Below are 12559 nucleotides of genomic sequence, written 5' to 3' on the forward strand. Positions count from 1 at the left end.
TTATAGTGAAAAAATTTATGTTCATATTCGGTCAAACTAGGTTTATAAGACATTACTCTTAATTTGCCAAAGATGGAAAACAATAAGTTAATGCATTTCTAACCACTCTGTTGCCCATATTAACCTCTACATAACCAAAGAAAGTCATTAAACTAGATTTACATAACGTAATCTGATAAACTGAAATGAATTACAGGTAATCTAATCCAGCCCTTTATCCTTATTAAAATGATGTGTTCATTCTGGTCTCATTAGGCCATCAACCATGGTAATTCCTGAAAAAATAATCTTCACAATATTAAGAACTTGTCAAATTCTATTTCTAAAGTAAATTTCAGATACAGTGCTTCAAAAATACTAATAATAAAAAGAAGAGCATGAACCAATTTCAAAGGGATTACAGATCAAGGGTGTGTGGTTTGTAATGGGCAATGACAGGCCTACAGTTTGCAGTCAATTACTGGCTCCTGAAACTCCTAGAAATGTAATAATGACTCCAAGAAACTTTTTTTTTTTTTTGAGACAGCATTTTGCTCTGTTGCCCAGTCTAGAAAGCAGTGGACAGCTCACTGTAACCTTAAATTCCTGGCCTCAAGTGATACTCCTATCTCGACCTCTTGAATAGCTGGGACTACAGGGATGCAACCACCATGCCTGGCTAATTTTTATTTATTTTTTTGTTGAGATGGGGTCTCGCTATGTTGCCTAGGCTAGTAGAAACTTCTTATAAGGATGTGGACACTACTTCTTCAAAACATAACAGATTTCCCTAATCAATATATTTCATTGACCATATTATCTTTTGCCTTCACAGCAAACAAAAACTTCTCTTTGTGCCTTCAGTGTTGACTTAAAAAAAAAGTTTAATGCTTACCTGAATCAAAGTGATCTTTCTCCAGGATATCCAGAGGTTCTGTTGAGTCTATAGACTTACTGATTTCTCCCTTAGGAGAGTCTTTTCCAAGATCTCCTTCACCTTCATCAGTGGTCCATAGTTCTCTATTAAATGTATCATGATCAGGTTGTCTTCTGAAATCATCATAGTCTTTCTTCAGGCGGCTCCTGAAATAAAATGCCCAACATAATAAATAATACATATGATTTAAATTCTTGGAATCTAAACTAACTTTTAACATTTTAAACTACATATGGAAATATTTTTTATTAAGTCACTAGAAATGCTTTAATCTTAAGTGTGTCTAAGATGCTTAGTTCAGTCTTGCCAATGCTCAGGAAGACAGAACCTATGGTATAGGCATAAGAAACTTGAAACTTAAAAAATTATATGTATCTGGCCAGGCATGGTGGCTCATGCCTATAATCCCAGCACTTTGGGAGGCCGAGGTAGGCAGACCTCTTGAGCCCAGGAGTTTGAGACCAGCCTGGCCAACACGGTGAAGCCCTGTCTCTACTAAAAATACAAAAATTAGCCAGGCGTGGTGGTGGGCACCTGTAATCCCAGCTATTCGGGAGGCTGAGGGACGAGAACTGCTTGAACCCAGGAGGTGGAGGTTGCAGTGAGCCAAGATCATGCCACTGCAGTCCAGCCTGGGCGACAGAGCGAGACTCCATCTCAAAAAAAAAAAAAAAGAAAGAAAAGAAAAAAAATTATATATATCTGCAAATTTCAGAATAAAGATTTGAACATACCATCTGATCATCTTTATAAAGGTTGCTGTTAGACCAATTAAATGAGACAACTAATTTTTTTTCTAGCTGCACTGACAGATTAGAGTCTTAAAATTACTGACTATAACACATCTTAAAAGGTCATTTAAAAAAAGTTTAAGCCAGAAATTCTAAGCACCAGTATCTATTTTTGTGACTATCATACAGAGAGTAACAAATCTATCACTTAATCCTGGGAGTAATTGTATCTAAACCTTTCAATCTTAATAGAAATATTTTAAAAAATTATGCCTAGGAAAACAAAGCTGAAAAGTAATCTTTCACAGAGATCTTTTTCATATAAAAACATAATAGCTTTATTTCTGAGAAACTAGAGATGGAAACATGGTATTTTAGAGATCCTTCATTATTCCTTTTGTTTTCAACTAAGTGTTCTACCTTATCCTCAACTTTTACCCTTAGTGTCGTTTATTCAAAAAATAAACATGAACATATGTTCTCCATTTCCTTCTTCCTTTCCTTTCCTCCTTCGTCTTGCTCTGTCACCCAGATTGGAGTGGAGTGGCACAATCTCGGCTCACTGCAACCTCTGCCTCCCAGGTTCAAGCAGTTCTCCTGCCTCAGCCTCCTGAGTAGCTGGGATTACAGACACGCGCCACCACAACTGGCTAATTTCTGTATTTTTAGTAGAGACGGGGTTTCACCATGTTGGCCAAGCTGGTCTCAAATTCCTGACCTCGTGATCTGCCCACCTTGGCCTCCTAAAGTGCTGGGATTACAGGCGTGAATCACTGCGCCTGGCCATGTTCTCCAATTTATTTTTGCTATACATTCTTATTTGTGCACATTAGATTTTAAGTCCTACCTCTGTCACTTACCAGTTGTAAGACTTTCAATTTTAACTTAGTTTTTTGAGACAGGGTCTCGCTTTGTCGCCAGGCTGGAGTACAAGTGGCACAATCTTGGCTCACTGTAACCTCCACCTCCCAGGATCAAGCAATGCACCCACCTCAGCCTCCTGAGTAGCTGGGACCACAGGCATGCACCACCATACCTGGCTAATGTTTGTATTTTTTGTACAGACACAGTTGCACCATATTGCCCAGGCTTTAAATTTTTTATTTATTTATTTTTTTTGAGACGGAGTCTCACTCTGTTGCCCAGGCCAGAGTGCAGTGGCGCGATCACAGCTCACTGCAAGCTCCGCCTCCTGGGTTCATGCCATTCTCCTGCTTCAGCCTCCTGAGTAGCTGGGACTACAGGTGCCCGCCACCACACCCGGCTAATTTTTTGTGTTTTTAGTAGAGACGGGGTTTCATCATGTTAGCCAGGATGGTCTTGATCTCCTGACCTCGTGATCTGCCTGCCTCGGCCTCCCAAAGTGGCTTTTAATTTTTAAAACATTAAAATTCCTTAATTTCCAAAACATTAAAATTCCTTAATTTTCTAAGCATCAGTTTACTTATTACAAATGAGAATAATAATAGTACTTACCTCTCAGTACGTGTGGCACATAAATATTCAACAAATGTTAGTTAATAATTGCTTTCAGTTTATGTAGGTTTTCAATTATTGTTAAGGGTTTTATGGAAGCACATGAGGGCTGTGAAAGGTATTAGAATGGGTTACCAAATGATAATCATAAAATGAATTTCCCTTTCAATCTATAAGATTGGAATGAAAAAATATCTATGTGGGGATAGTATAAAGTTCTCCTCCCTTCTCACTCTCAGTAACCTTCTCGGTCTCAGTTAATGGCTTTACTTCTTATTTCAAGAAAAATGGAGGCAATCAGAAGAGAACTTTCACATGCTCACACCTCATCTGCAACTCACCTTAATGTATATTCCTATTCTCCATCTCCCTACCTAAGCTAACACCTCCATTTAAATGCATCCTCTTACCTAATCAAGGATAACACTCTACCAAATGTCCCTTCCTTTACCTGAATCCATTTTTTGTCTACTAAATCATTTCCATCAGTACACAAACATGTTATTCTATCACACAAACGACAACAACAAAACACACTCTCTTAACCTCTTTTCCTTCCAGATACTGCTCCATTTCTCTATTCCACCTTATAGCAAAACTCCATGAAAGAGGACTCTTCCATTTCTCTCCCCTAATTCTCCTGAATAGACTTCTAAGACTTTTATCCACTCTTCTACTACCACAGCTCACCAAGGTCATTAATATGATCCTCATGTTGCCAAATTAAATAATAAATTCTTATTTCTCATTTCCTCAACCCATCATGAGCAGCCCTCCTTTATGAAACATTTTCTTTACCTGGTTTCCAAAACACTTCTCTTCCTTGACTATCTTCCTGTTTTACTGAGCACTCCTTCAAAGTCTCTTCTACTGAGTCCTACTCATCTTGGCCACTTCTACATGCTGGAAGGTCTAATGCTCGCTTTTCTTTTCTTCTCTATCTATGCTCATATACTAAGTGATTTCTACCAGCCTTATGTCTTTAAATACAATCAAGATGCTGACAGCTCCCAAATTTGTACCTCCAGACTCCCTTGAACTCAGACTCCTATACTGAACTGCTTATTCAATAACACCAATTATATGTCTAAAGAGCATATCAAAGTTAACATGTTCAAATCCAACTCTTCAATCCCCTCTACCTCTCAAATTTGCTACTCCTTGAGTTTCCCCTATCTCAGTTAATGGCAATTCCATTATTCCAGTTGTTTAGACCAAAAATAGTGGGTATCATCTTTTTCATTCCTCACTTTCTCTCATACTCCACATATCCAATCCTTAAGCAAATTCTACCAATCCTACTTTCAAGGTATATCCAGAATCCAGCCACTCCTTGGTATCTGCACTGCTACTATCCTAGTCCAAGCCTCTACCATTTTTCTCCTGGATTACTGCTATAGTATACTGGTTTCCCTGCTTTCATCTTTGTCCTATTACATTTATCTCCACCCAACAGAGTGATTGCTTTAAAACATAAATCAAATCATGTCCCTTCCCTGCTTAAAACCCTTCAATGGCTTCTCACCTAACTCAGTGTAAAAACTCCAATTCTTAAAGATCTACATGATCTGGCTTCCTTCCTCCTTACCTCTCTGACTCTTGCCTGTTACCACATTTCTCTTCACTCGCTCTGCTCTGGTTACACTTGCCTCTTTGCATCTCCACTAAACGCCAAACATGCTATCAACTCTAGGGCTTTAGTACCTTCTATTCCCTCTGCTTTCCCCTCAGAAATCCACAGAGCTCCCTTCCTCATTTCTTTAAGGTCTCTGTTCAAACACCAACTCATCAGGGAAGCTTTCCCTGACACCTGATCAAAGAGTAACCTTCACCCTGCCCAAATCAGCCATTTCTTAACCCCCTTACCTTGCTTTATTTTTCTTCACAGCACTTTTTTTTGCCATCTGACATTTGAGTGTGTTTTTTTCCATGAGAATGTAAGTCACAGAGTGGAGACTTTGTTTAGTCAACAATATTTTCTCAGGGCTTAGAAAGAGCCTTGCACACAGTGGGCAGTCAAAAATATCTGCCGAATTACAAATGACTGGAAAACTACTAAATGATTCCAGGACATCATCCAAAAATCGTAAATTAAGGACCATAAAATAAGTAAAACAGATTATAACATTAAAATTACCTGTTTCTTTGGAAAGCCTTCATTAACTTTGGTTCCCATGGCAGCAATTCATTTAAAAGACGTATCAATGTACTATGTAATTCTTTTACAGCTTGCCTCCGATGATACCATTTTCCCTAAAAATAATGTTTAAAGTAAATCCCTTAGATTTATTCTAAAAGTAAATGTCAAAACTTATTTTCTGAGTAAAATACAAAAACACCAATACTCCATAAAAACGTATTTCTTCTTCAGAAGCTTGCAGAAAGGGGGAAAATATCCTGTAATAAATTTTATTCAATATATGTAACAATTCTCAATTCTACCAGAGAAATCTGAAACCTGTTTCATCCAACTGGAAGATAAAAATTTTAAAAATGTTTTAAAATTGCATCAATTGTAAATGTTTTAATAAATCATTTGTTAAATATATGTAAAAACACAAACATTTATATAAATTCATTAAGTAAGTATGACATGGGTCATTTCAGTAAAGTTACTGTAACTTTCCCAAAGACTGGGGAAAAGGGAGAAAAGGTAGGTTTGTTATCATGTCTAAAAGCAGTCTTTTTAACAAACTTCCTAGGAAATTTTACAATTATTTTATTTTACAATGTTTCTAGCCCAGAAAAGCAACCAAGCAGTTACTGTTTTCAATACCCTAATGCTATACTAAGAGTTAATAATTACTGATGTCCTCTCAATTTGCTAAGTTTTAACCTAGGTATTTCACATATATATATATCTAGAGAGAGCTCTAGCATTTACAAAAAGCCTTCTGAGATGTGTGCATTGTTATGTTCACTTTACAAATGATGAAAATAAGGCTCATAGAGATTAAATGACTTGCTTAAGGTCCTATAACTTAAACCCGTATCTGCCTGATTCTGAAGTCCAAGCTCTTAGAACCACATCACTACCTCTTAAAAAGTACATCACATGAATTCAATCTGACACAGGCTATAGAAACCTCTAGAAGATACACCTCACCTGTATATATAAAATTATTTGAATAACATAGGAACAATAAATTTATAGCTGCTAAGCCACAGTATATACTTATTATTACCATCACCTACTGTTACATAATCATGTTGGGTTTTTTTTTTGTAATGGCTTTGAGATATAATTCACACATCACACAATCCACATGTTTTCTTTCTAACAAAAGATACATAATTATATACGTTATGGGTCACATTTAACATGCATAAACAGATTTTGTCCTACAGCAACTGTTGAGTCCATTTGCATATAAGTAGAACACTAAGGTGGAAAAATTACCACTATCTAGAGCAAAAACTATTACAAACATGTGCATAAATTTCCCAATATATATAAGGAGATTATATATATATATATATATATATATGACCTTCAAATTTGTCATGAAAATTTTAGTCACATATAAACCTGTGTGACGAACAGTACAGTTTTACAAAAAATATTCTGTGCTTTAAACCAGCAGAATGTTTATGCACATTAACAGGTAAATTTCTACCTCTGAGGTTTTTATATCTTAGAAGAGGAATTGCTTACTAGAAGAGTAGGAAGATATGAGATTATATATGTGCATGTGCACGTAATGAATATGGAACCGAGGCTCATGACTAATTCTTGTTTCTTAATGGTATGATGAATCAAAGAATTAAGAAAAAAAATTCAAGAAAAGTAATTTTTATTTCATATATTAATCTAGATAGGCCTCTTTCTTGTTAAATGTGTTCTAAAGTACACAAAGGACGCAAGTTAAAAATGAGCTACACCTTACAAGTTTATTTTTCTCAAAGAAATGTTATAAAAGTGCTTATTTTAAGCCATGAACACAAAACTATTAAATGATACATTATAAAATTGAACAGGAAGTAACTTTCATCTAGAAAAAGTGAACTTAAAATAGAAATTAGGTAGACTTGTAACCAACATTCTTCCACTTCTCAACTATTTGGCTTCAAGAAGTCAAATGGTCAGAGTGGAAGTAAATCTTTCCTAAGTTAAAGAGAGAAGAAAGAGGAAAGATATGATAGTAGGGAGACTATACTCTTTGTGGCAGAATTAACTGGAAAACTGTTCAAAGGCTAGGGAACACCAGGCATGCTGAATTCCTCACCGGGAGTTACAGGAGAAAAATGGCAGCTGTAGAGTTACTCTGGGCAGTATGACTGCTGCCTGGATTAGCAAGTGGTAGTGTGGCGGGGGATGCAGAAGGACTAGCAGTATTGTGGCACAGAAGACCTTACTTAGGCCTAGGTAGATGAGGCACAGGATGGGGAGACTGGGTAGCTGGGATGTTGTTATTTCAAGATATTTGTCAACTGTATTTCTGCCTCTGTTGAATTACAATATTAATTTTTGTAGAAAAGTTTTTAAAAGATTAGAAAGTTTTTACCTTTTATGTTTATTACTAATCTTAGAAATTTAATCCCACATGGAGAAATATACTACTGAACTAGAAGACTGTATATAAGGAAGGAAGCTTAAATATTATGATCAGAGAACAGACTTCTTTCATACAACTTACCCACTAATCTGTTTTGAAATGTCTGTTATCTTTTAACATTATATGTTTTGTGGCCTTCTTCTCTTTCTTTATGTATTTTCAGTCTGGGGTAGTGGTGGTATAGTACTTCATTCATAATTTGAAAATGCTTATTAAATCATTCTATATTTCGAAAACAAACCCAAAAGTTTATTATTTTCACAACACAAATTATAGAAAAGACTGATAAAATGCTTTGTCTAGCAGATACATATGAATATAATGACCACAACAAAGGGCACCCCTATACCCTGCCATGGAGAATGTGAGTCAAGTTTTTATGTTGCTCAAAAGCATGCAGAGGTTTAAAAAAGTTGAAAATTAACTGTTCTGGGATTGCTATTTGAGGTAAGGTGCTTTAATTACTTAGAGTAAAAGGGAAACTCACACTGCCTGTTTTATGTATCATCTGCTTTGGTCAAAACATGGTGCTTATAACCCCAATCAAATTAAAATAATGACACTGTCCCTTTCTACTTAGTAGTGTTCTCAGAGTTGCATGGTATACAATGAAATTAATGTAAAGAGAAGAAAAGTTATATAAAAGAAATGAGATGATAATCTGCCTTATCTTGGGTCTAATATAAAAATCTACATAAAAATCAAGCAAATATTTATTGAACTTTAAATTAGGTCATTAACTAAAAGCTACTAATAGCTTTTCTGATTGATCAACTTTATTCATATACACGGACAAGGGAAAAACAAAGAACAATGATCATGTTTCATCTCGGATGAAATTATTAAAGTTGAAAGGAAACTAAAAGGGCATTTATTTTCTAGAAGAAAATGGTCTAAAGTTATACAGGGAAGTACAGTTGACCCTAGGTATCCAACCACAGATATAAAATAATTTGGAAGAAAAAAAATGAATGGTTGTGTCTACACTAAACACATACAGACTTTTCTTTCTTGTCATTATTCCCTAGACAATATAGTATAACCAGTATTTAAATCACATTTACATTGTAGTAGATATTATAAGTAATACAGAGATGATTTAAAGTCTACAGGAGGATGTGTGTAGGTTATACATAAAGACTACACCATTTTATATAAGGCACTCGAACATACATGGATTTTGGTATGAAGGTGGGGTCCTGGAACCAATCTCCCAAGGATACTGAGACACAACTGTATTTGCCGACAGAAGCAGCCATTAGACTAGAATTCTACACTCTAAATACTAACGTCTAATCTCCTTCCACTATACAATGCTGTATTTCTTGGACCCCACAAAGACAATTCCTAAAGAAGACATAGATTATCTTGTGTAAGTACCTATATTTACATGTAGGTATCTCTGTATTATAAGAATTAAAATCTCTAAGACTTATTTTAACTTTTAAAATTACAATAATAATTAAAATAATAATGACCTAAAGTTAAGAGTGAATTAAAAGCAAAACAGCAAGTTCTTCTGTCTTCAAACACAAAGACAGAATGTGGATGTAATAAAAATCAGAAAGGTTCTTAAGACTCTTTCTCTATACTGATTAATACACAAACAAAGATAAAAATGGCAGATAGATAATTTAGTAAAAGATCATTTGTGGAGCAGTGCTATGACTTTCTCTAATAAAAATATATTTAATAAGCTTTATGCATCTAATTTTAGTTCTGACTCTCCTTTATAAACAAGTATGTGAACACAGGGATAAATTAACTGTTTCCATGTTAGAATTTTCACTATTTTCATAGGCAAACAATACTGAGAGAATCTCAATGCATTACATGAATTTCATAATTCAAATATTTACTGAAGGTCACTTTATAAAGGGACAAGCAGTATTTTTCTTTTATGAATCAACAAAAGTATGAATTTCAAGTGTACATTATGGAACCAAAGACATACAATATAATTTAAATTTGAAGCTTACCTTTCATGCTTTCTCATCCAATGTCCACGGCAGCTGCAGATTGCCAGCTCCCTTTCCATAAGATGGCCCAACTACCAAACACTGGAGGTTTTATAACCCCATAGGGATTGCTACAACAAGGAACTGGTCTATGGTCACAAGATTAAGTCCTTCATTATATCATGCAGTTTTATAAGTCTTTGAATGTAACAGATTAATAACTTAAGGAATCATAAAGGAAAATAAAAAATAACTTACAAAACTACACAATATTGTAAAAAGAAAAGCTGCATCTCTATGTATGTGAAATGAGTCGGGAGGGAAACTTACCTCACAACTAAAGAACAACTGCATTCTGCTACAGTAATCTGGGATGGGTATGACAGCACCAGCATAACACTGGCTGGAGTGTGGCAAGGAGAGGGAGTTGGCAATCTACTGATGCTGGGGACATTGGATACCTAAAAAGGAAAAAAAGAGGGACATAAATAAATTCTATATTAAATGTCTCATAACAACAAATATATTTTGCACACTTTAATTTAGATACTTTGTACATTAAACTTAGGTGAAAGTCACTTGTTTATACAAGCCATACAGTTACTTACATAGATTTTTCTTGTAATATTATATCTAAACAAAACAGGTATCGGCAGTCATATGAAGAAAAAATTAAAATCATATAAAAATATACAAAGAATGCTTTTTAAAATGGAGATGGTATTATTGTGGAGATAACATTTTTATTTAAAAGAACAGTACAAAACATATACAACAAAAGTATGAATGCTTTTTTCCTATATGCTTTTATTTACAAATATGTTGTTAGATCACAGACACATGAAGCACAGAACATTTTTTGTTACAAGTTTAATTCTTGTCACAGACATAAATTCTGTGGTAGAGAAGGTATTAAATATCAATATATTACGCTTTTCTTTTTTTTTTTTTTTTTGGAGACAGGGTCTTGCTCTGTTGCCCAGGCTGGAGTGCAGAGGTACGATGTCGGCTCATGGCAACCTCCACCTCCTGGGTTCAAGCAATTCTCCTGCCTCAGTCTCCCTAGTAGCTAGAATTACAGATGCCTGCCACCACGCCCAACTAATTTTAAATTTTTGTTTTTTCAGTAGAGATGAGGCTTCACCATATTGACCAGGCTGGTCTTGAACTTCTGACCTCAAGTGATCCACCTGCCTTGGCCTCCTGAAGTAGTGGGATTACAGACACGAGCCACTGCGCCCGGCCATATTATGTTTTTTAATTAAAACACAAATACCTTTTAGAAAAGCTAAATGGATCCCTACAAAAAGAAGTCTTATTTAAGGGTCTCGTGCTCTACTGACTGAGTTAGCTGGGCACTAAAAGATGTCTCATTTAAAATCACTAACTATATCCAAAGGTATAATCTAAACTCACATGTATAAAAACAGTATATAATAAACTGTAACTAAGTATTTTAATAAACTAATTATTTGACATTCTCCTTAGTCTAAGTACTATTACATGAAAAGGTAATACTATATTCAATAAGTATTCACCTATTTTTCTTACTGCTTACCTACAGAAACTACCACCATACTAACATATTCCTGCATATTCACAGTTTTGGGGGTAAAACATCATGTTAATCATGTTGGTACACAGTCCCTGAAAAAGTGCTATTTTGACAGTATAATACATATAAATATGAAAAAAGTTAAAAAGTACTTTAACACTGACAGAAGCTCTAACATGAACTATTATATATGCTATTATTTTCTCTTGATACTCTTACCAATTTTTACTTAAGACTAGGAGAAAAGGAACGCGTTTGTACTTTAAAGGCATCCCACACTGAATACATTGAATAGTATATCCAACATTTCCATTATATTTCTAAATTAGCATTTAAATAGAAAGCATGAAGGCAAACTACAACAATAACAATAATGATAACATTTCAAGTTTCTCTGTCTTCCAGCTTTGTAGCGGGGGAAAAACTGGGTGACAGGTCACATTCCTGGTAAGGTAGTTCACTATCACCGGGGAAGAAAATCTAACAATATACATTTAAGAGACAATGTGCTACCATTTTCATTTACAAAGAATGAACCGTGGACTAGAAATTAACCACTGGTTGAGTATCTGAATTTGACTGTTTTCAATAAATTGATATTAAGCCAACAAACTGATGATATTTTAACAGATCCATATATGCTATCAGAAAGATGGGTTCTCAAACAATTCACAGCACAATCTAAACCACAAAGTAATGGCATGTTTATTTGGCATAAGAGGGGCATAAAAAGTTCCAAGTAAGTGAAATTAAGACGGGAAATATTTGAAAAGCAGGGACAGTATCCTACTTACTTTTATTTTTTCATATTCTCTCACAACGCCTAACTCTGACAGAAAAGGCCCACTTTAAGTGTTCCACTACATAAGCACATTTCTCATGTAACTGAGGTTTCTTCCTTAGATACAAAAGGTTATTTAAAAACTGATTAAAATGTTCCTAAAGTATAAGTCTTTCAGATTTTCTGACAATATAATGAATATAATCTAACTTGATGACTTGGGTCATCATTATGAACGAGTTATTTTGTTAGTTTTAAACTCCTAAGACCTGCTTTTACTTATTTTTTTCAATTGCTTTTTAAAAAAATTATTCATTAGCCGGGCATGGGGGCTTATGCTTATAGTCGCAGCATTTTGGGAGGCAGAGGAAGGTAAATCACTTAAGCCAAAGAGTTCGAGACTAGTCTGGGAAACATGGCAAAACCCTGTCTCTACAAAATATCCAAAGATTAGCCGGCCATGGTAGTGTGCACCTGTAGTCCCAGCTACTGGGGAGGCTGAGGTGGGAGGACTGCTTGAGCCTGGAGGTGGAGTTTGCAGTGAGCCAAAATCACACTACTGCACTCTTGCCTGGGTGACAGAGTG

At 35.2% G+C, this 12559-nt stretch overlaps 1 protein-coding gene across 17 annotated transcripts in view; it reads right to left on the reverse strand.

Moving 5' to 3' along the window:
* The window catches only part of BRD10 (bromodomain containing 10), a 129649-nt gene that overhangs the window by 44950 nt on the left and 72140 nt on the right, over positions 1–12559 (reverse strand). For 13 of the 17 annotated variants that reach the window (XR_007061251.1, XR_007061249.1, XR_007061250.1 and 10 more), the window contains 2 exons: positions 5261–5376; positions 875–1062 (listed from right to left, as the gene is read on the reverse strand). Coding sequence is in view for 10 of the 17 variants with exons in the window: in XM_011517760.4 (XP_011516062.1) it covers positions 875–1062; positions 5261–5376 (304 nt within the window). In the remaining 7 variants the exon portion in view is untranslated. The other 4 variants (XM_011517761.3, XM_024447429.2, XR_001746207.3 and 1 more) reach the window with 4 other exon arrangements.

The sequence above is a fragment of the Homo sapiens genome, chromosome 9 (genome assembly GCF_000001405.40).
Source record: "Homo sapiens chromosome 9, GRCh38.p14 Primary Assembly".
Lineage (NCBI taxonomy): Eukaryota > Metazoa > Chordata > Mammalia > Primates > Hominidae > Homo > Homo sapiens.